The 21,502-nt window shown below is 41.9% G+C and overlaps 1 protein-coding gene across 1 annotated transcript in view, besides 3 other annotated features; it reads right to left on the bottom strand.

Annotated features, from left to right (window-relative positions):
• Window positions 1-21,502, bottom strand: part of ALPK2 (alpha kinase 2) — a 147,845-nt gene that overhangs the window by 88,577 nt on the left and 37,766 nt on the right. The window contains exon 4 of the mRNA NM_052947.4: window positions 8,991-10,725. Within this exon, the coding sequence (NP_443179.3) occupies window positions 8,991-10,725 (1,735 nt within the window). The remainder of the gene's footprint in view (window positions 1-8,990; window positions 10,726-21,502) is intronic.
• Window positions 9,724-10,271: an enhancer, noted in NCBI's record as "ALPK2 eExon fragment used in the reporter construct". NCBI's record gives its function as "weakly activates a pGL4.23 vector minimal promoter by reporter assays in HepG2 cells" and the evidence as "EXISTENCE:reporter gene assay evidence [ECO:0000049][PMID:25340400]".
• Window positions 11,808-12,308: an enhancer, noted in NCBI's record as "H3K27ac hESC enhancer chr18:56248863-56249363 (GRCh37/hg19 assembly coordinates)". NCBI's record gives its function as "activates a minimal SCP1, AML or CMV promoter by ChIP-STARR-seq in primed H9 embryonic stem cells {active_cell/tissue: H9 hESC(primed)}" and the evidence as "EXISTENCE:reporter gene assay evidence [ECO:0000049][PMID:30033119]".
• Window positions 14,829-15,463: an enhancer, noted in NCBI's record as "OCT4-NANOG-H3K27ac hESC enhancer chr18:56251884-56252518 (GRCh37/hg19 assembly coordinates)". NCBI's record gives its function as "activates a minimal SCP1, AML or CMV promoter by ChIP-STARR-seq in primed H9 embryonic stem cells {active_cell/tissue: H9 hESC(primed)}" and the evidence as "EXISTENCE:reporter gene assay evidence [ECO:0000049][PMID:30033119]".

Below are 21,502 nucleotides of genomic sequence, written 5' to 3' on the forward strand. Positions count from 1 at the left end.
AGTGACTAGAAACCTCCGCCCTTCTGGCTGGGCGCGGTGGCTCATGCCTGTAATCCCAGCGCTTTGGGAGGCTGAGGTGGGCGGATCACAATGTCAGGAGGTCAAGACCGTCCTGGCTAACATGGTGAAACCCCGTCTCTACTAAAAATACAAAAAATTAGCCGGGTGTGGTGGCGGGTGCCTGTAATCCCAGCTACTCGGAAGGCCGAGGCAGGAGAATTGCTTGAACCCAGGAGGCGGAGGTTGCAGTGAGCCGAGATTGCGCCATTGCACTCCAGCCTGGGTGACAGAGCGAGACTCCGTCTCAAAAAAAAAAAAAAAAAGAAAAGAAAAACCTCCGCCCTTCCCATCATCGGCTAAGATCTGGCTTATCAGCCCTCTGGAGTCATTGTTTTAATAGTTTTTATTTTGGGAGAATACAATTGAGTATGCAAATGAACTCAAGATCTCAGGTGGTTCTTAAATCCGAGCACTGTATTACAAGATGGTTTAGATCAGCTGCCTTGTATTTTTCTATGCCCTAAAAACATTTACTAGAGCCCTGTGATGTGCCCTGCCTGTTACTGGATGGCCATGCAGATTTTCAGGCTGCTGCATACTCTGCCTGTACCACCTGCCTAGTAACTAGCCTGAACTTAGATTAACATGAAGTTTCATACCACATCAGCTCAAATCTGCTTAGCATAGAAGAAGTAAATTTTCTGCTGATACTTAAAACACAACTGGGAATTAGTGGGCTATGGTGGCAGTTTGCCACCTTTGAAGGCATGAACTCTCAAGGTGTGAATACATACATCATTTAGTAGGAACTATTGGACTTGCACGTCAAGGCCTCTGTCTCTAGGTCTCTCTCTCACCCCCGGCTTTCTGTTTAAATCAGTCAATCCTCATATTGTGGGCAAATCCAGGAAAGACGGCACATCTAGACTTGCTCATTCTTTCCAAATAGCACATAATAGTCCTATTGATTAACTAAATGCCTCTTAGAAACCAAAACACCCTTGGTTTCTTCAACCTTTAGTTCAGCTGGGTTTGATCATCTGTTCAGTCCTACAGGCTGATGGGGGCACCTCTTTCCTGGCTATACGCCCAGCTCGTGGCTGCAAGGCTGATGTTTTCCTGGCCACTGGTAAAATCCCTGGCAAGAAAGTGACCAGAAGCTTTCCTCTGACCTCAAAGAGGAGATGAGACCCTGACATCTTTCTTTTTTTTTCTTTTTTTGAGACAGAGTCTCGCTCTGTGGCCCATGCTGGAGTGGTGCGATATCAGCTCACTGCAACCTCCACCTCCCACGTTCAAGCAATTCTCCTACCTCAGCCTCCCAAGTAGCTGGGATTACAGGCAAGCGCCACCATGCCTGGCTAATTTTTGTATTTTTAGTAGAGACAGGGATTCACCATGTTGGCCAGGCTGGTCTTGAACTCCTGGCTCAAGTGATTCACCCACCTCAGCCTCCCAAAATGCTGCGACTACAGGTGTGAGCCACCGCACTTGGCAAACCTTGAGAACTTACTGGGTGCCTGGCACTATGCTAAGTTCTCTTTTTAAACATAGTTACAAAGTCTTATCAATAAGTCGTGCTAGAAAAATTGAACATCCACAGGAAAAAAAAAAAAAAAAAGAACCTTAACCTAAACCTCATACTTTCTACAAAAATCAACTCAAAATGGATCATTGGCTTCAAATCTAAAACATAAAGCTATAAAACCTAGAAAAAGACCATAGCAGAAAGAAAATCTTCAGGATCCAGGGAAAGGCAAAGAGTTTTAGACTTGACACCAAAAGCAAAATCCATAAAAGGAAAAACTGACCATTAGACCTCATCAATATGAAAAGTTTTGCTTTGTGAGAGCCCACGTAAAGAAGATAAAAAGACAAATTACAGACTAGGAGAAAATATTTGGAAATCTTTAGGAGGCCGAGGTGGGCAGATCACAAGGTCAGGAGTTCGAGACCAGCCTGGCCAAAACAGTGAAACCCCGTCTCTACTAAAAATCCAAAAATTAGCCAGGTGTGGTGGCAGGCGCCTGTAATCCCAGCTACTTGGGAGGCTGAGGCAGGAGAATCGCTTGAACCTGGGAGGCGGAGGTTGCAGTCAGCCAAGATCGTGCCACTGTACTCCAGCCTAGGTGACAGAGGTAGACTCCATCTCAAAAAAAAAAAAAAAAAAAAAAAGGTGTGTAAACCAACAAAGGACTAGTCTCTAGAATGCATATAGAAGTCTCAAAATTCAACCATAAAATAACAGTCCAGTTAGGAAATGGACTTAACAGACATTTCCCCAAAGAAAATATACAACTGGCAAATAAATACATTTAAAAATGTTCAAAATTGTTAACCATTAGGGAAATGCAAATTAAAAGCTACAATGGGATATCACCACACACATATCAGAAAGTCCAGAATCAAAAATAATGACAATACCAAATGCTGGTGCAGATGTGGCGTAACTGGGCCCTCATACATTGCTGATGGGAATGTAAAAAGGTACAGCATCTCTGGAAAACAGCTGGACAGTTTCATTACAAACTAAATATGCAAGCCCCATATGACTCAGCAATGACTGTCCTGGGCATGGGTCCCATAGAAATGAAGACTTATGTTCACATAAAAGTCTGTATATAAATGTTTTAGCCATGAGAGCAAAAAACTGGAATCAGCCCAAATGTTCTTCAACCAGTGAAAGACTAAGCGAACTGCGTGGAATACTACTCAGCAATAAGAAGGAATGAACTTTTGATACACACAAGTTGAATGAATCTCCGGGAATTCTGCTGAAAAAAAAACTCAAAAACTTGTATACTGTATGATTCCATTTATGTAACATGTTTGAAATGACAAAATTTTAGAATTGGAGGACAAAGTAGTGGTTGCCAGGGGCTACCAAAGGGAGAGGGCAGGAAGGAGGTATGCATGGTTATTAAGGGTAATGCAAGGGATCTTTGTGGTAATGGAATTGTTCCGTATCTTGACTCTGGTAGTGGATACAGGAACCTACGTAGGTGATAAATGTCTGTAGATCTTAATACACACATACGAGTACAACTGGGGAAATCCAAATTACATCAGTAGATTGTATCAATGTCAATATCCTGGTTATGACATTATACCATTGTTTTGTAAAATGTCACCATTGAGGGAACCTGGGCAAAGTGTACTGTCATCTCTCTCTATTTCTTACAACTGCATGTGAATGTACAATTATCTCAGTAAACATTTCAATTAAAAAACATGTAATAAAACCGTTTGTAAATGGTATCTAGATCTGCTAATGAATTCTCTTAAAAACATTATACTTAGTGTATTCTGTTGCTTTATGTTTAATTTTAAATTGAGCATTAAGGGAATGCAGCATTATATATGTATATGTGTATATATATGTGTATATATGTATATATATGTGTATATGTGTGTATATATGTGTATATATGTATATATGTGTATATATATGTATATATGTGTATATATGTATATATGTGTGTATATATATGTGTGTATATATGTATATATGTGTATATATATGTATATATATATGTGTGTGTATATATATATGTGTGTGTATATATATATATGTGTGTATATATATATGTTTTTTTTTTTTCAGAGACAGGGTCTTGCTATGTTGCCCAGGCTGGTCTTGAACTCCTGGGCTCAAGCGAGTCCAACGGCCTTGGATTCCCAAAGTACTGGGATTACAGGCATGAGCCCCTGCACCTAGCCAGGAATGCAGTATTTTAATTGGAACTCTGCCAACACTTTTATCTAGAGGCATGTTGCCATTTTTGTCTTCTTTTTTTTTTTTTTTTTTTTTTTTAGTATTTATTGATCATTCTTGGGTGTTTCTCAGAGAGGGGGATGTGGCAGGGTCATAGGATAATAGTGGAGAGAAGGTCAGCAGATAAACATTTTTGTCTTCTATAAAACTTTTGTCCCAAGAAAGTCAGGATTACAAAGAATGAGGATGAGAATGTCATGCGTTGCTCTGAAAGAAGAAATTGTAGTTAGGGATGAGAAAAGCAACTTGAAGCACCATGCAAGATCTCAGTCTTGAAGCAGCAGGTAGGCTGAGCTAGAAACAAGGTGGGCAAAGGAATTCCAGACAGAAAGATGGACCATCCACCACATGTTTTCCAGGTGAGGAAACCAGCTTGTACTCCTGCTTTGCCTCTCAGAGATAGACAGAGGCAAAAGGCAGAAAATCCTGAGTGCTAGGTGAATATGATAGTATCTTCCTTGATCTAATTAGCAATTTTTTGGAGATAATGAAGCACTAATAAAGCAAAGTTATATGTAAATCTCCAGCATTCACAAGAGAACCCAAGTGCAAGATTTGGATGGTGCTGGTTGCGGCAGCTCACGCCTATAATCCCAGCACGTTGGGAGGCTGAGGCGGGGCGGATCACAAGGTCAGGAGTTCGAGACCAGCCTGACCAACATGGTGAAACCCTGTCTCTACTAAAAAAAAAAAAACAAAAATCAGCCGGGTGTGGTGGGGCGCACCTGTAATCCCAGCTACTCAGGAGGCTGAGGCAGGAGAACCGCTTGAACCCAGGAGGCGGAGGTTGCAGTGAGCCAAGATCATGCCAGTCTGGGCAACAGAGTGAGACTCCATCTCAAAAAAAAAAAAAAAAAAAAAAGATTTGGATGGTTTAGAACAGGGGTCCCCAACCCCCAGCCCCAGGCCATGGACCGGTAACTGTCTGTCTCCTGTTAGGAACTGGGCCACGCAGCAGGAGGTGGGTGGCAGGACATGAACCCAGTTGTGAATGGTGCATACAAGGGATCTAGGTTGCACAGTCCTTACGAGAATCTAATGCCTGATGATCTGAAGTGGAACAGTTTCATCCTGAAACCATCCCCGCCCCGTTCCGGCTGTGGAAAAATTGTCTTCCGCAAAACCAGTCCCTGGTGCCAAAATGTTTGGGGACTGCTGGTTTGAAACAAACCAACCCATTCCCAGAGCCAAAAGAGTAACTAATAGGAAGCACGTCCTATTAGCAGAGAGTTGGCCTCAGCATCTTTTATGTGAAGGCAACCAAAGAATGTGCTCAGGAAAATAAAGGCCATAAAGTGGTGGAGACCAACGATCATTAGAATCACACCTAACTGGCTGGGCATGGTGGCTCACGCCTGTAATCCCAGCACTTTGGGAGGCCGAGGCAGGTGGATCACCTGAGGTCGGGAGTTTGAGACCAGCCTGATCAACATGGAGAAACCCCATGTCTACTAAGAATACAAAATTAGCCAGGCATGGTGGCCCATGTCTGTCATCCCAGCTAATCAGGAGGCTGAGGCAGGAGAATCACTTGAACCTGGGGGGCAGAGGTTGCGGTGGGCCGAGATCACACCATTGGCCTGGGCAACAAGAGTGAAACCTCGTTTCAAAAAAAAAAAAAGAAGAAGAAGAAAGAAAATCACACCTAACTATACTTGGCATTTACTCTAGTATTGTATGGCTACTTATCCAGTCAATAATTGATTGTCTATTACACGGCAGGCACTACTCTAGGGACTTGGGTTATATCAGCGAACAGAATACACTGAACAAATTCCCTTCCATCACGGAGCTCAATTCTGTGCTTAGTGCTGATTCCTGATCAGGAAGATTCTTAATTACCAGAGCCCAAGAACACATTTCCTTACTGTACACTTGTGATCCCATGACCCCATACAGAAATGCAACTCCCTCTGGGGCGAACCTGGGCAGCTGTGCAGGAGCACAGACGCAGCACTTCTGATTTAAGGGTGAGGATGATCTTACCCTAGTGTGGCTGCCGAGAAACTTAAGATGGGCAGGCTGTCAGGCCTTGCCTCTGAGTTGGATGAGGAAAGTGAGCTCAAAACCAAGGTGAAGAGTTGGCAGTGTGACCCTTGAAGATGATTCAAGTTAGCCTGGGGTACCCTCTCTGTTTTCCACTCCCAAACTGGGATTAACTTTATAATCTTCCATAAATATAGAGAAACTGGGGGCTTTCCAATATTAGCCTGGGTAGGTACTATTTCAAGACAACAGCAAGATGGCCTTGCATTCTAAAAGAGAGAAAGGGAGACAGGAAGTGAACATACCTAGAGATGCATGTTTAGGCAGGAGATAGTCTACAATATGGCCTTGTTCTTAGAACATTAGAGAGATGGAGTTTTTCTCAGCATGCTAAAAACGGTATGCAGATGAAGAGAAAATACTAGGAAGTAAACTGCTGGTCACTGTTTCTGCAAAAAGGCACCTAAAGGTAAGTGAATCAGGCAAGACTCAAGAATGGGCAAATTTGACCGAGCGTGGTGGCTCATGCCTGTAATCCCAGCACTTTGGGAGGCTGAGGTGGGTGGATCACCTGAGGTCAGGAGTTCGAGACCAGCCTGATCAATATGGTGAAACCCTGTCTCTACTAAAAATATGAAAATTAGCCAGGTGTGGTGGCGGGTGCCTGTAATCTCAGCTACTCAGGAGGCTGAGGCAGGAGAATCTCTTGAATCTGAGAGGCGGAGGTTGCAGTGAGCCGAGATCGTACCATTGCTCCAGCCCAGGCAACAATAGCAAGACTCTGTCTCAAAAAAGATAAAAGGAAAAAGAGTGGGCAAATTTATTGCTATGACTACCAACCCAGGATTTTAACCATTTCAAATTTTTAGGTCCCCATAAACCTCAAATGTCTGAGAATAAATATTTAAAATGTCTTTTGAATTTGTTATGGAGAGAGTCACCTATCTTTTTGTGAACAGTATTATTTTTAAAAGTTGAATTTAATTCCCAGTGACCCCCAGTGCTTCTGTGTCATATCTGTGATGATAGTTAGCCACTTGCTGTAAATTTGGCTACATTGTATACGTGTGTAGAAAATACAGGTATCTCCTACAACTAAATAGAAACTTTTTGCGTGGGTAAAAGAATCTCAAATATGCCAGTCCCTGTGGCAAAATTTTCCTGCTTTACTCAAAGGAAAATAAACACCACAGATAGAAAGATCGTATTTCTAACTCCAGGCTGCACGGAACTGCTCTTAAATGTACAGCTTCCATTCACATTTCTGGTTATCCCTTGAGTGAGAGGTCAGCTCTGCTACTGACCACAGCAAAGTGAGAAAAGGTCTCTCCACTTGCAGAAAATGCAAGCCCTTCGGTTTGCTTTCTGAACAACAGTGTTCACGGTTCTGAGGTAATTGCCTTAGTCACACCACAGCGCACAGGTTGGACCTTCAGCTGATACCTGGTGGAGTGGGTATATAGTGATGAATGTGTGTGTGAGTGTGTAAGCGAGACCTTCCATAGAGTACATGAGATAGATGACCTGGGTCCCAGAAATGGCCCATTTTACTTGACTGACTTGCTAGTAAACAAGTGAGCCAGGGCTCTCGATCTCAGAATTCAGTTTAGGTCACAAGCTGAGGATGACAGAGGGGGCTCTTCCCTCCAGCTCTTTGAAATTTGGGGCAGATGGATGAGACAGCAATTGCCTTCCACAATGGTGGATCTAAAACCAATATCGTCAGTAAATAGGTAAATAGCCCCCTTCCCTTCCACTTCTTTTGAGCTACTTTATCACCTTCCCCCACCTTCAATAATAAAGTAATTTGTCCAGTGAAACACTTTGAGTGGATAAATGACTGTAAAAAAAGCACTTAGCTGAGCACGGAAGAGCATTTTATGACTAGAAAAGGAAATGCCATGTTTATCAACATGAAAAAATTAACATTGTCACTTTATTTTGTATTAACATATGGTCAAAGCACCTCCCTAAGCTTATCTTGGGCATGAAACTGTGGTCATTGGTGTGTGAGCTGCTAAGAGACATGTGTTAAATAACTGGATAGGAGAATCTGGTTCTCCTGTGAAAAGTAAAATATAAATGTGGCTTTTACCTGGCCAGTTTGGCCAGCAGAACAGAACAATTTGCTCAATCAACAGTTACCTAAAATCTGGAGATTTTTAGATTGGCTTTTTTATGACTGGGTCTATAGAAATTCATGTGTCAATTTTTAATATTTTCACAGAGTTAAGTCACTTTGCATTGGGAATATTTTATCTTTGGAGTGTATCTAGTCTTCTATAAAAATAATACTAGTTTTCTAGTACAAAATTGGGAAAAAGGGGAATACAAAGTATAGTAAAAATAACAGACAAATAAGTTTTCTTAGGTATTTATTTACAAAACTCAAATCTTGCCCATATTACAGCGTAAGTCCAAAGCTCATTTGGGACCCTTTGAAACTGAAAATATCATTAAAAATATAAGTTATGTATCAAGCACAACATCTTTTGTGCATTGATTATTCCTATAAATTTAATTCCATCTCTTTACACTCCCAAATCAGTAATAAGGGAAAACAAATTTATTTCTTGGCAGCTTTTTTTCTCTTAGCCTCTTTTATACTCTGTTTTAAACAAAATAAGACAAACATCCAATCAAAAACATCCCACCAGTGAGGCAACAGTTAATCTGCCTGCTTTCCCTAGCATCACAAAAAAAGTGAAGTCTACAAGTCTTTCAGACACACTGAAGTCTTTCATTCATACCACAAATTCTGATTAAAGCCAAGACCTATCATTTTCAAAGCACTTCCCTGCAAATGACTAAAAACAATGTTTTTTTCCCCCTTCTTCCTTTAAAGGCTACACCCAAAACATTTGCTTGAGAAACTTTCTGAATAGTGGCATTGCCTGGTAAAACACATGCAGCAGACAAAATATCAGATTTCTTTTTCCAGCTGTCCAGAATCCCATTAGTGCCTCTTAACTTCTATCAGTCTTTTGCTATAATTAGGATGGCTTAGGGTTTATCTGGGCCTTTTTTTCAAAACCAGATTTCCTTCCGAGCAGCAGCAGCTGTCATGCACAAGTACCCTGATGGTGTTGGGAAACTTATTTTGATTTACATTATGGTATAGCAATTGTGAATGTGAAGTAAAGGAAGAGACACACACACACACACACACACACACACACACACACACGGTTCTTTTTATCTCGTAATTTCTTTAAAAGAAAAGTCTTACCTGAGGAGGATCACTCCAGTCTGGAACCTGGCTTGTTTCAAATAGAGTATTAACTTGCATGCCTTCTCCCTTGCAATTTGTGTTGCCTTCTTTGGAGACTGAGTCTGTTGAAGTTTGAAGGGTTTTTGCTTCTTGCTCTGCCTGGGTTGAAATAGCACATTCTCTTGCATCAGCATGGGAACTCCGACCAGTCGCTGCTGCTGTGGTGTGAGAAGTCTCTCTTTTATCACTCTGGGTTAGTGGGGGCTCAGCAGATTCTTTGGCAGAGCAGAGATGAAGGGTACCTTCTGTTGTACTTTCTCTCAGGTTGGCATTCGGCTTCTTGGGATTTCCCTTCATTCCCGGCTGCCTCACCCTGGCAGATTTCCTTGAACCCCTCTTGCTCCATAAGTCCTTTCCCCCCACTCTCTTGTCAGCTGCCGTCTCCCAACACTGGCTCATCCCTGAGTTTTCTGACTCACCAGACAAGAGCTTCATCTCTGTCTCTCTTACTGATTCATCCATGTTGAGCAGATTGTCACTGGCAAATTCCTCTCTTGCTTGGTGGCTGTCTCTGGTTTCTCCTTGAATTCCTGGATAATCATTTTCAGCAGCCTCGGGAGCAGTGGGGAGTTTATATCTCCCCTGTTCTGTCACTGAAGACGTTCCATCCTGGTGAGGTCCCAAAATGAGAGTCATCCCTGTTTGTGGGGATGAGGGACCGTGCTTGGAGACTCTGCTGCTCCTCACCCCAACTTCTTGGGGTTGTGAGTGATGACCACAGAAGCCAGCAGTGGCAACCATAGGCCCAGCGTCACCCGACACCCGAGACCCACAACCCATTCCACTGAGGAAATGCTCACACCCACCCAGGCAATGCTCACCGAATTCCATCTCTTCGTCATCGCTTTCTAATAAAAAAACATGCTCAGTCCCCAGCAGGTTCCTTTGCCAAACTGCATTAGAGTAATCCGTCATAACATCAGAACATTCCAGATACTCCAGGTCATCATCTGAAAACTCCTCGGTGTAGGTTAGGGTTATCTCTGGGCAAAGTTCATAGTCACTGTCAGAGTCTTCACTGGAAAGCTGTGGGCTGGGTTGTTTGTTGGCCACGGCACTGTCACCTGGGTAAATGTGTGCAGTTGCCTCAGATAGCGGGAGGCTGAAGCTAATGTATTTCTGTACTTTGGGATTTTGCTGACTAGAGCGTAAGCCTTCATCATGAGGACCATCATTGTTCAGGTCACCATCCGTGAACTTTGATGCCATGGAATGCACTGTCTTGTGGCAACATCTGTCTTGTTTTTCATAAATATGACTTGAATTAAGAAAAAGCAACCCATTTGCAATTTCTTCTGTGTTACTTGGATCATAAGCCTCTCCAGTGTGCCTTGTTCCTTTAACACCCAAAGGATTTTCAGAACTGGACACACTAATGTCAAGATTGCCCAATGACTGGAGGGAGAGTGAATGGTTGGATTTGGAGGGGGAGGAGTCAGCTGACCTGGGAGTGCCCGGGGAGATGCTTTCTTCTTCCTTATAAGGATGTTCCTTCTCATCAATCTGATTTGCCCTTTCTTCTTCATGTGTCCCTGTTTCATGTTTCCAACCCCTGTCCCTGTCATCTTCCAGGTTAGGAGACAATTGTGGGTTCTCTGATGAGCACTCAACCTCAACGGAAGCAGAACAACAGATCATTCCAAAAGAGTTTTTAGCCGAGATTTGATAGACAGCAGCATCATTTTTGGTACAGCTAGGATGAAGAGAATATATAGATAAGTTTGCCACATTTGGACATGCATGCCAACATTTTCACACCATGGCACACAGAGAAAATGACCATCATTTTACTGCATGTTCAAGGAGATCTGTGATCTCCCTGGAAAAGAGTTTGTGGCCAAAGGCAACTGACCTCTGGGCTCCGGTGCCCCTAGTGCTGAGAATCCTAGGCAATCAGCATCCTCCCTTGAAACTTTCCTCAACGCTGCCTCAAATGGAAAATGCTGAGGATTGCACCATGACAGTTTACAAATGCCATGGCAGGGTCAGGACATTACCTTATATGGTCTAAGAGGGGGAGAAACCCTCAGTTCCAAGAATTGCCCACCCCTTTCTTGGAAAACTCATGAATAATTCCACCCCTTATTTAGCATATCATCAAGAAACAATCATAAAAATGAGCAACCAGCAGCCCTCAAGGCTGCTCTGCCTATGGAGCAGCCATTCTTTTATTCCTTCACTTTCTTAATAAACTTGTTTTCACTTTAAAAAAAAAAAAAGAATAAAATGCTGAGAATTACTTAGATGAATGGGGAAAATGTTTTATATTCTAATTTTTTCTTCTTGCCTTTTACATCATTTTTATGTTACGGGAATTTGAAAAAGCATTTTTCTAGAGTGAGACATTGTACACAAATAAGTAAAATACAATTCTTCATGTACTGGAATGGCATAGAGAACCCTCAAATCTTTTGAAGACCTTGCTAAGAGGGTGTCATTCTTGCTAGAGGCCGTAAAGATAATACCATGATAGGACTACGTATATGAAGGACAGTGCTGTTTCCTTTTTAATTGAATGTGACTAAAAGTCTAAACCACAGCCCGTGAGCTCCACTGGCTGGAAACCCATGTCCACAGGCCATTCTGACTCACATAGATCAAGCCAGGTTTTCAGCTTTGGCCCAGCAGGGGAGGAACAGAATGCTGGATGGAACGAAGCCTGCTCTCTCAGTTCAGGATGGACGCTGCTCCTGTGGCTCCTCCCATCATTGTTCAGCATCACAAGGAGCCTGCAGCCTGACATACTTTACTGGGTCCTTTCCCACTGGAACTCTTCTCCAGACACTGCAATCCCAGTAAAAACTTGTTACCTGTGTTTTGTATGTTGCACCCTTATTAATCTCATTTGACCGCATTGTAATTGTAATATTGCTGACCTCACTATAAGTATCAGCCAGCCCAGAAGTCAACAATCATTTTTAGAAGGCAGGAGCTGTGGGTCTGGCTTGGTCTGAGAGGCAATGCTTAGGTCTTTATTCACTGTTCTTTGTGTGAAATACACACAAATATCTAACCCAGGAAGGGTCAGTGTGAGACACAGATATAATATGGTCATCCTTTCTCTTCCCCACTGAAGGGACCCCTTGCCTCCACAATCCTATATGTCCTCATAAACCCTCAAGTGTTGAGTCCCAGCTCACATATGTCTCATTTTCAGAAGGCAAAGACATCTAATCCCAATTTCAATAATGTCTTGTTGAGTTGGCAATCTGGCTCTTGGGTAGAAGCCATTCAGGAGCGGCTGAGATTGGCCAAGCTTGACCCATGGCTGATACTGGGCTTTGCCTTGGCCAAGAGCACACATAGAATAAAATTTAAGGCAACTTTCTGGAGAAAACAATACCTGCGCTCCTGTCTATTTCACTAAGTTATTCTGACTTTGCAAAGAAGAAATGTTATACCAGACGAATTCTTCAAGAAGGGGGCAGTACCGAGACAAAGATATCTCTGGTGCTGAAGAATCATGCAGAAGAATCATCAGAGAACTCTGTTTAAAATTCTTGAATCAGAATCCCTAGGTCAAGGGCCTGAGAATCTGCTTTTAAAGATCTCAAAGCCATTCTGATGCAAATTGTCCTTGGCCTACCCTTGGAGACAGCCTCATCCTCATCACTGTCAATCAGGCTTAGGGCTCCGCCATTCAAGCGGACTCTTCTCAGATGAAGAAAAATGTCTATTGCTGCAGTTTCATGTCATCCAGATTGTTGGCGAAAAAAAAAAAAAACTGTGAAATATTTAAAGAGATTTACTTTGAGCCAAATATGAGTGACCATGGCTGGGGCACATCCTCAAGGGGTCCTGAGAACAAGTGCCCGAGGTAGTCAGTTTTACAGTTTGGTTTTATACATTTTAGGGAGACAGAAGTTACAGGCAAAGCATAAATCAATACGTATAAGGTGTACGTTGATTCAGCCCAGAAAGATGGGACATTTTGAAGTGGGGGGTGGGGGCAAGATTATAGGTCATAGGTAGATTCCAAGATTTTCTGATTGGTAATTGGTCAGAAGAGTTAAGCTTTCCCTAAAGAGTTGAAGCCAGCAGAAAGAAATTGTTGAGTTAAGATAAGTGGGTTGTGGAAGCCAAGGTTCTTGTATGTAGAGGCAGCCCCTAAGTAGCAGGCTTCAGAGGGAATAAATGGTAAATGTCCTCTCTGGACCTTAGAAGGTGTCAGATTCTCTCCTGAATCGGGAAAAGACCTGGAAAGGGAAGGAGAATCACTACAGAATGCAGATTTCCTCCCACAAGAGTATGGCTTTGCAGGGCCATTTAAAAATATATCAAAGAAATATATTTTTAGAGTCAAATACTCTGATTTTCTTTAGGACCTGCTCTTTGTGATGTGATGCTATACCAGAATCAGGTTGGAGTTGGGTATCTTCCTGCTACAGAGTCTGCTGTGAGTCTTATGATCTCTATTTTAATGTCAGTGGTGGTCAGTTATGCCTAAACTACAAAGAGAGGAGGGTATAATGAGGCGCGTCCAACACCCTTCCTGTCATGGCCTGAACTAGTTTTTTAGGTTTCTTAGGGATCCCCTTGGCCAAGGGGTGTGGGGGCAGTGGTGCAGCTTAGAATTTAATTTTTGGTTTACAACACTGTCTTCTTCATGAACCTTTTCAATTAATTCTTGGAGATTTGGCCTCCATTAAGCACTGACAGCATAAAAAAGCACTACAAGCTGAGCACAGTGGCTCACACCTGTAATCCCAGCACTTCAGGAGGCTGAAGTGGGAGAATCAGTTGAGCCTATGAGTTCAAGACCTGCCTGGGAAACATGGCAAGACTCCATCTCTGTAAAAAATTTAAAAATTAGCCAGGCATGGTGATACACACCAGTAGTCCCAGCTACTCCAGCCTGGATGGCAGAGCAAGACTTTGTCTCAAAAAAAAAAAAAAAAAGAAAGAAAGAAAAAGGCGGGGGGGCTGTGGCAGGGTGGGCAATAGGGACTACTGGGAAATCCCAAGTAATTTTGATATCCTGACCTATCCAGTCCATGAGCCCTCTGCAGAGAAACCACCTCCCCTGAAGGTACCATGACTTGTGTAGAAGAGAGAGAAAGGAAGAAAAGAAAAGAAGGCTGAGAGGCACAAGGGGCAGTAAAGCAGTAAGAAATCAGGAGAGGTGGGGAGCAGAGATGATTCTCAAGAATCAAGGAGAGAAAACAAAAAGACTTTTAGAAAAACATGGAGAAAATCATTGAGTTAAATACACTCTATTTAAATTCTTAACAACTAAATAAACAGATGGGAGATTGTCATAATTTTGTGATGTATAATTTTATGAAACATGTTTTAGTTGATAAGAGATTTATAATCCATCCTAAGTACAGTCAATGAAGAGAAAAGGGAACTGGATTAAGTATAATTAACTTCTCACTGGCTAATGAGTGCCTTTGAAAGAGTTATGATTTGTGGCTGACACGTCTTTGCTAATTATCTCGAAGCATCCTAAAGAAGAGGGGAAGAAAATCGGGCAAGGAAGCCAGCATCTGCTGGGTGACTCCTACATTAAACAATGTCTGCCTCCTCCCTGTGGGCAAAACTGAGGTTGAAAGGAGTTATTTCCCCAAAGTGACAAAGCTGGAAAGCCATAGAGCCGGGATAAGAAAGAGCCTTCTGCCCTGGCTGCCTGGCTCTGTGGTTGCTGTTAGAAAACTAACATTACCAGAAAGGAAACGACACAGTGTAGAGATCATTCTGCAAATAAAGTGTTTCTGTCCTAAGTCTTCAATCTTGATCAGCCAAATGGCAGACTTGCATAGAGTAATGGGCACCGTGGTGCCCAGCATTATGTTAGGAGCTGCAGTGGAGTGAAGGAGACGCCTGAAACATCATGTCCAGCCCCCAAATGACTAAAAATTGACTGAAGGAAATAGTATTACTTTCCCAGAGAACCTTGTAGATCAGGTCTGTGCTAAGGTGTACAGAACAGACTGGATGGGAAAAAGGAGTTCAGAGAAGGGACTCCAATGGTAGCAGTTAAAATGGTGTTAGTAGGGTCAGGGTGTAGAATCTTTGCAGCATGCTGGCAGAGAGACCTGTGTGCCCCACAGTGATTTGACAGGAATGCAAAACCATCCAGGAAGAAATTCCCTGAACAATTAATTGAATTCCCTCCTTGCATGTCTTTTCTTTTGGCGGAGGGAAGCAGTAACATTCCTCTCCCCTGCTGTGAAAGTCTTGCTTGAATTCTCTAGGTTCTTTATAAATTAATCATTTCCTTATTAAAGAAAAAGAGGTCCATGTTACCTTGAATGAAGCTTCTGAGTTTGAACCCCCAGAAGTGGTCTAAACCAGAATTTCTGAAAACATTTTGGTTTCAAGACTCTTTAACACTCTTAAAAATAATTGAGGACTTCAAAGAACTTTTGTTTATATGGGTTATATCTGTCAATATTTACCACATTACAATAAAAAATTTTTAACTATTTAGTTCATTTTAAAATAACAAGAATAAATTCATTGCACATTAGCATAAATAATGTTTTTATGGAAAACAAATATATTTTTCCAAGGCAAAGCAACATTTCATAAGAGTAGTTTTAAATTTTTTCATATATCTTTAATATCAAGCTTAACAGAAGATGGTTGGATTTTTGTATCTGTGCATTCAGTGTGATACAATACATGGTTTTGATTAATATATGTAGAAAAACTGGCCTGACACATCAATGTATTGGGAAAGAAGGAATATTTTAATAATCTTTTCATCTGATTGAAAATATTCTTATTTGATATATACGAAGATTAGTTACAATGTGGAATCTGAAACCACATCAGTGAACTTTCCATACTTGTTATGTAAAATCCACCATTCTATGTTGCTTTTTTTTTTTTTTTTTTTTTGAGACGGAGTCTTGCTCTGTCTCCCAGGCTGGAGTACAGTGGCACCACCTTGGCTCACTGCAACCTCCACCTCCAGGGTTCAAGTGATTCTTCTGCCTCAGCCTCCCAAGTAGCTGGGACTATAGGCATGCACCACCATGGCTGGCTAATTTTTGTATTTTTAGTAGAGACGGGATTTCACCATGTTGGCCAGGCTGGTCTCAAACTCCTGACCTCAGGTGATCTGCCTGCCTTGGCCTCCCAAAGTGCTGGGATTACGGGCATGAGCCACAATGCCCAGCCCTATATTGCATTTTAAGTGCATCTTTTACCCATGCATGATTTTGTAACATCACACATTGGTCATTTGGAAAAACTTGGCTCATGATATCTTCCAAATATTAATACATTTTATTAAATAATACTTTTTAAAACCACGTTGTTTAATATTATCACTGATCTTATCAGAATAATTTTTAAATATTATAAACTGTTAAGCTTTTGATGAAGGGCACAAGCTTTCCAAAATTCTACTTAGGGAAATAATATGAATGTTAATTTATCAGAGAACAGTGTAAATCAAATCTGTGCTAAGTTGTATGGTAGAAAGTAGAAGCATGGAGGATATGAGCTAGAAGTTCAGAGGAAGGATCCCTGAAAATTCTCACCTCTGTAAATGCAACAAGAACACTGGCAAAACTTGTCTGAATCAACTTTTTCAGGGCTCTGAAAATTAAAGGCAATCTGGGGAGCCTTTATTCGAGAAAAATGGCTGAATCTCAGTAAGAACAGTTTTCTGGTGCTTTAACCTGCCCTAGTTCTATTCCCCCATAACCAGCTCCACAGTAGTCTTGAAAACCAAGACTCCACAACCACAGTGAAAACCAGTAGCCTGGCAGCAGCTGGAGGGGGCAGGACCCAGTTGGGGCTCCTTCAAAGCCCCATACCCAGAGAGTTGTCATTATTTGACCTGCCTAGTAATTCCCTGGAAGACCCCACTCACAAGACTGTTTTTGTGTGATCTGACTTAGAGTTCACCCAGCAAAAATATCTTTTTCCCTAGGGGCATTTGTAAAAAAAAAAAAAAATTATACAGACAATTGTTTAACACCATGGCTGCTTGAGGCAGTAGATTACAATTGGGTTAAACAATAGGGTAACCAAAAAGCTTAAAAGGGAAAGCTGGGAATGAGATGCCCATGGGGTCATTGAAAAGCTGAGACATTCTCCTGGGGATCTAGGAGGCCATGCACATGCATAAGGCTGTGAGCAGCCTTCCTAAGCATGTCCAGTGCATGTGCTTACGAAAGACCTGAGAAAATTCTGAGCTCGCAGCTCTAACTGACCTTAAGGCTCTCTACTAGCAGGAAGTGAAGGCTAAGGCAGAGTTGTCAATTGCCTGGCTGAGTGTGAAAGCATGCTTCATACCTCAACATGCACACACAGCCCCTCAATAAACTGGGAGACCCATTGGTTCCAGGCATCTAAGGAAATCTCTGTCCAGTCATTAGCTGACCACTAAGCTAACTCAGTAGAAACTTCAGGGGTCACAGACAACAAAGAATTAGTTCAGAAAAGTCACTAAGCAAGCAAACAACAACAATAAGCCCTGGGAATGTGGGAGAATCTCATTTCCAGAGTTGCCACGTTACATTGTTTAAAATGTCCAGTTTTCAACAAAAATTATGTGACATGCAAAGAAACATAAAGTATTGCCCATACACAGAAAAAGCAATCAATAGAAACTGTCCCTAGACTTGCTAAACACAAACTTTATCTATTTTAAATATGCTGAAAGAACTAAAGAAAACCATGTCTAAAGAGCTGAAAAAAAGTATGAGAATGGTGTTTCAATAAAGACATAGAAATTATACATACAAACCAAATAGAAATTTAGAGATTTAAAATTACAGTAACTGAAATAAAAAATTCACAAAAGGGCTCTACAGCAGATTTGGGCAGATGGAATAAGAATCAGTGAACTTGAAGTTGGTCAATTGAGATTATCCAATTTTAGGAACACAAAGAGAAAAGAATGTAGAAAATTAAAGAGTTCTGGAGCCTGATGGTATACCAGCTTACAATATATATATAATGAGAGTCCCCATAGGAGAGAAGATAGAGAAAAAAACAGAAGGAATATTGGAAAAAACTGGAAGTCCCTAGTTCAGAGAAGGGACTGCAATGATAGCTTGAAAGTTTGGATTTTATCACTGGCAACAAATACTTTTAGTTTTCCTTGAAGTGGCAGGCTTGTTTTGTTCATTTTTCAGAAAATGTCTGCCAAATACCCAAGGCTGAATAACCATCATTTGTCTGTTATTCTTTTGAGTAAAAATGATAATCCATAAAAACAGTGGCTAGTTCAGCTTGCAACTTAATCATGCAAAAGCTTGTCCTCAAGATGTTCACCATCTGAGGAAATCCAGCAGAGGTGCTGTGTGTATATTTCCCATTTTATTACATGGGGTATTAACAGGGCTACTGAGTTATCAAGATTTAATAAAATTACCCCATTTTTACTGATGCATCAAGGGCATTATTAAGTAAAACTTTTTGTTTGTTGTTTTTAACTGTGGCTGTATGGAAATGCAGAATTCTATGGCAACTAATACGGTTCGGGACCACTGCCATGATTCATGCTAAGCCACCAACAGACTTACCCTTCATTACTTTTTATCATGAGTGTACACGTCAACACAGTGAAAAGGGCAAATAATGTTTGAATTTTTTTTTAATTTTTATTTTAACTTCTGGGGTACATGTGCAGGATGTGCAGGTTTCTTACATAGGTAACGTGTGCCATGGTGGTTTTCTGCACCTATTAACCCATCACTTAGATATTAAGCCCAGCATGCATTAGCTATTTTTCCTAATGTTCTACCCCTTACACTGCTCCCCCTCAAACCCTGTCCACCGACAGGCCCCAGTGTGTGTTGTTCCCCTCCCTGTGTCCATGTATTCTCATTTTTTTAGCTCCCACTTCTAAGTGAGAACATGTGGTTTTTGGTTTTCTGTTCCTGTATTAGTTTGCTGAGGATAATGGCTTCCAGCTCCATCCATGTCCCTGCAGAGGACATGATCTTGTTCCTTTTTATGGCTGTGTAGTATTCCGTGGTGTATATGTACCACATTTACTTTATCCAGTCTATTGTTGATGGGCATTTGGGTTGATTCCATGTCTTTGCTATTGTGAATGGTGCTGCAATGAACATATGCGTGCATATATCTTTGTAATAGAATGATTTATATTCCTTTGGGTTTATATCTGGTAATGGGATTGCTGGGTATGTTTGAATATTTTTAGGATAACAGTTTTGACCCTGAGGATCCCTAAAAAGGTGTTAGGGACTTCCAGAAGTCCAAGGAACACACTTTGAGAATCATTGATTTAAGCTATTCACCAAGGGAAGCCTGGATACACTGTCACAGCAGAACAGCTGGCTGTTGCACCCTGGAAGATGGGCATTAGCATGGAGGGGGTCACTGCTTTGCTTGGTTTGTTCACTTGTGTATCCTCTTAGGCTGATGATATAATTTCTGTGGTTTTTCTTATTTGCAAAGGGGAAAGAAGACCTATGTCTGGGCTCCATTTCCAGAGATTCTGATTCAATGCTTAATACATGGGCCTATGTAATTTAGTTTTGGGCAGGAGGAGGCCGGTTCCATCAATTCTGGAAGGGCTAATCCTAAAAGTTCTTCAGGATTCAGCCAACTTAGCATGATTTTGTGCTTTGGGAACAAGGGTTAAAAATATGAGTAAGAACTAAGCAGGACAAGAATCCACAGGACTAGTAACCCTATCAAAGAGGAATATGAAGACACGAGTTTGGGGAACAGGATGAAACAAGTAGAAAAGGAAGACATAAACGAACGATTTATTTTTTTCTAGCTACCAGCACAATATACCCATCAAAATGATATACTCTTCAGTCCCTACATTTCAATCATCATCATCTTCTTCATCCTTATTCTCATGCTCATCCTACCCTAAGGGTCACATGCATTATTTCATACATCTACCTATTGACCACTAAGGTGGGTGATTCCACCAGCAAAAATAAAAATAAAATCAGTAATCTTGTGTGGCCTGAAAAATGGATAATCCTTTATTGCCTGCCCTGAGGTCACTTCCCTGCTCCCAACAATATTAAAATTGCTGAAACTCAAACTGCAACTCGACCAGGTGCCCTGAAGACAGGGTTCATAGAAGAAGAAGCTGAAGTATTGGCTAGAGGTAAGATTTGGAATTCTCAGCCAGGTGCATTGGCTCATGCCTGTAATCCCAGCACTTTGGGAGGCTGAGGCAGGTGGATCACTTGAGGTCAGGAGTTTGAGACCAGCCTAGGCAACATGTTGAAACCTCGTCTTTACTAAAAAAAATACAAAAATTAGCCAGGTGTGGTGGCACGTGCCTGTAATCCCAGCTACTTGGGAGGCTGAGGCAGGAGAGTCGCTTGAACCCAGGGGCGGAGATTGCAGTGAGCTGAGATTGCACCACTGCACTCCAACCTGGGCGACAGAGCGAGGCTCCATCTAAAAAAAAAAAAAAAAAAAAAAGATTTGGAATTATCTCTGGAATTTAGATACTATACAACCACTATCTTGCACCACAGGCATTCCATTTTATTATGCATTCCACTTTCCAGTGAAAGAAAACAAGATCTGGAAACACGAGGTCTGTAGTGTCTTCACCCCTTCAGCCAGGAATGCAGGGGGAGGGAGGCCTCTGAAGCTCCCCCTCCAGTGGCTGCGAATGTTTTGAGCCTTCCCTCCCATTGCAGCAGGGAGGGGGAAGAGGGCTCCACTCAATAAATAATCACATGATGACATCCGTGTCCTTTCCTTGGCCATAGCACCAGGTGAAAGTCATCATTATTTTCTTAAGCCAAGTGTCTGTATTTTATTAGCTGCCTAACAACTGCTATCAATAATCATTTTTATAACTGAAGGAATAGGAAAGACTTTGGTCTTTCCCAAGCCCCAAAACTATGTTTGTCCTGGAGATGGAAGAATTCTCTGAATTTCTTGATCATATTTTCTATAAGTAACTTGATACCTTTCAAAACAATGAGGAGATTCCTCATACATTTACCAATTTATTCAGTTATTTATTCAACAGATTGATTGAACCACACACCTAAAGAGCCGAAACGGACCTCAGAGCTGTGTCTCTCCCAGGCCGGTTCTCACCCACCTGCCTTCTTCCCCGGTTCTGCTCTCTATCACCAGGGCTGACCCCTGAGGCTGCAACACCCGGCTCCCATGACTGCTGGCTTCTTGCTGTGTTTGACCAAAGAGAGACAGTAGATTGGGGGCTGGGAAGGGAAGAAGGAAGAAACCATCTCTTTCATAGTTCCAGGTCCCATGGGACAGCCTACCAGAGGTCCAGTTTCTGCTCTGTGGCCTGTGACCTGGAACTGGGAGTCTTGACTCCTCCCTTTGTCTCTGCTGCCCAGGAGATAGTGGCTCTGAGTGACCTCACTGTTCCCTGTTGGCTCAATCATCTGTGCAACCCTGCACTAAATGCTTCAAAATGGTTTTTGTCTTCCTGATTAGACCCTAACAGATACAGGAATTGGAACTATCTTACAGATGTTGGAACTGAGGCCCAGAGAAGATGTGACACGTCTTAAGTTATACGG

The sequence above is a fragment of the Homo sapiens genome, chromosome 18 (assembly GCF_000001405.40).
Source record: "Homo sapiens chromosome 18, GRCh38.p14 Primary Assembly".
Lineage (NCBI taxonomy): Eukaryota > Metazoa > Chordata > Mammalia > Primates > Hominidae > Homo > Homo sapiens.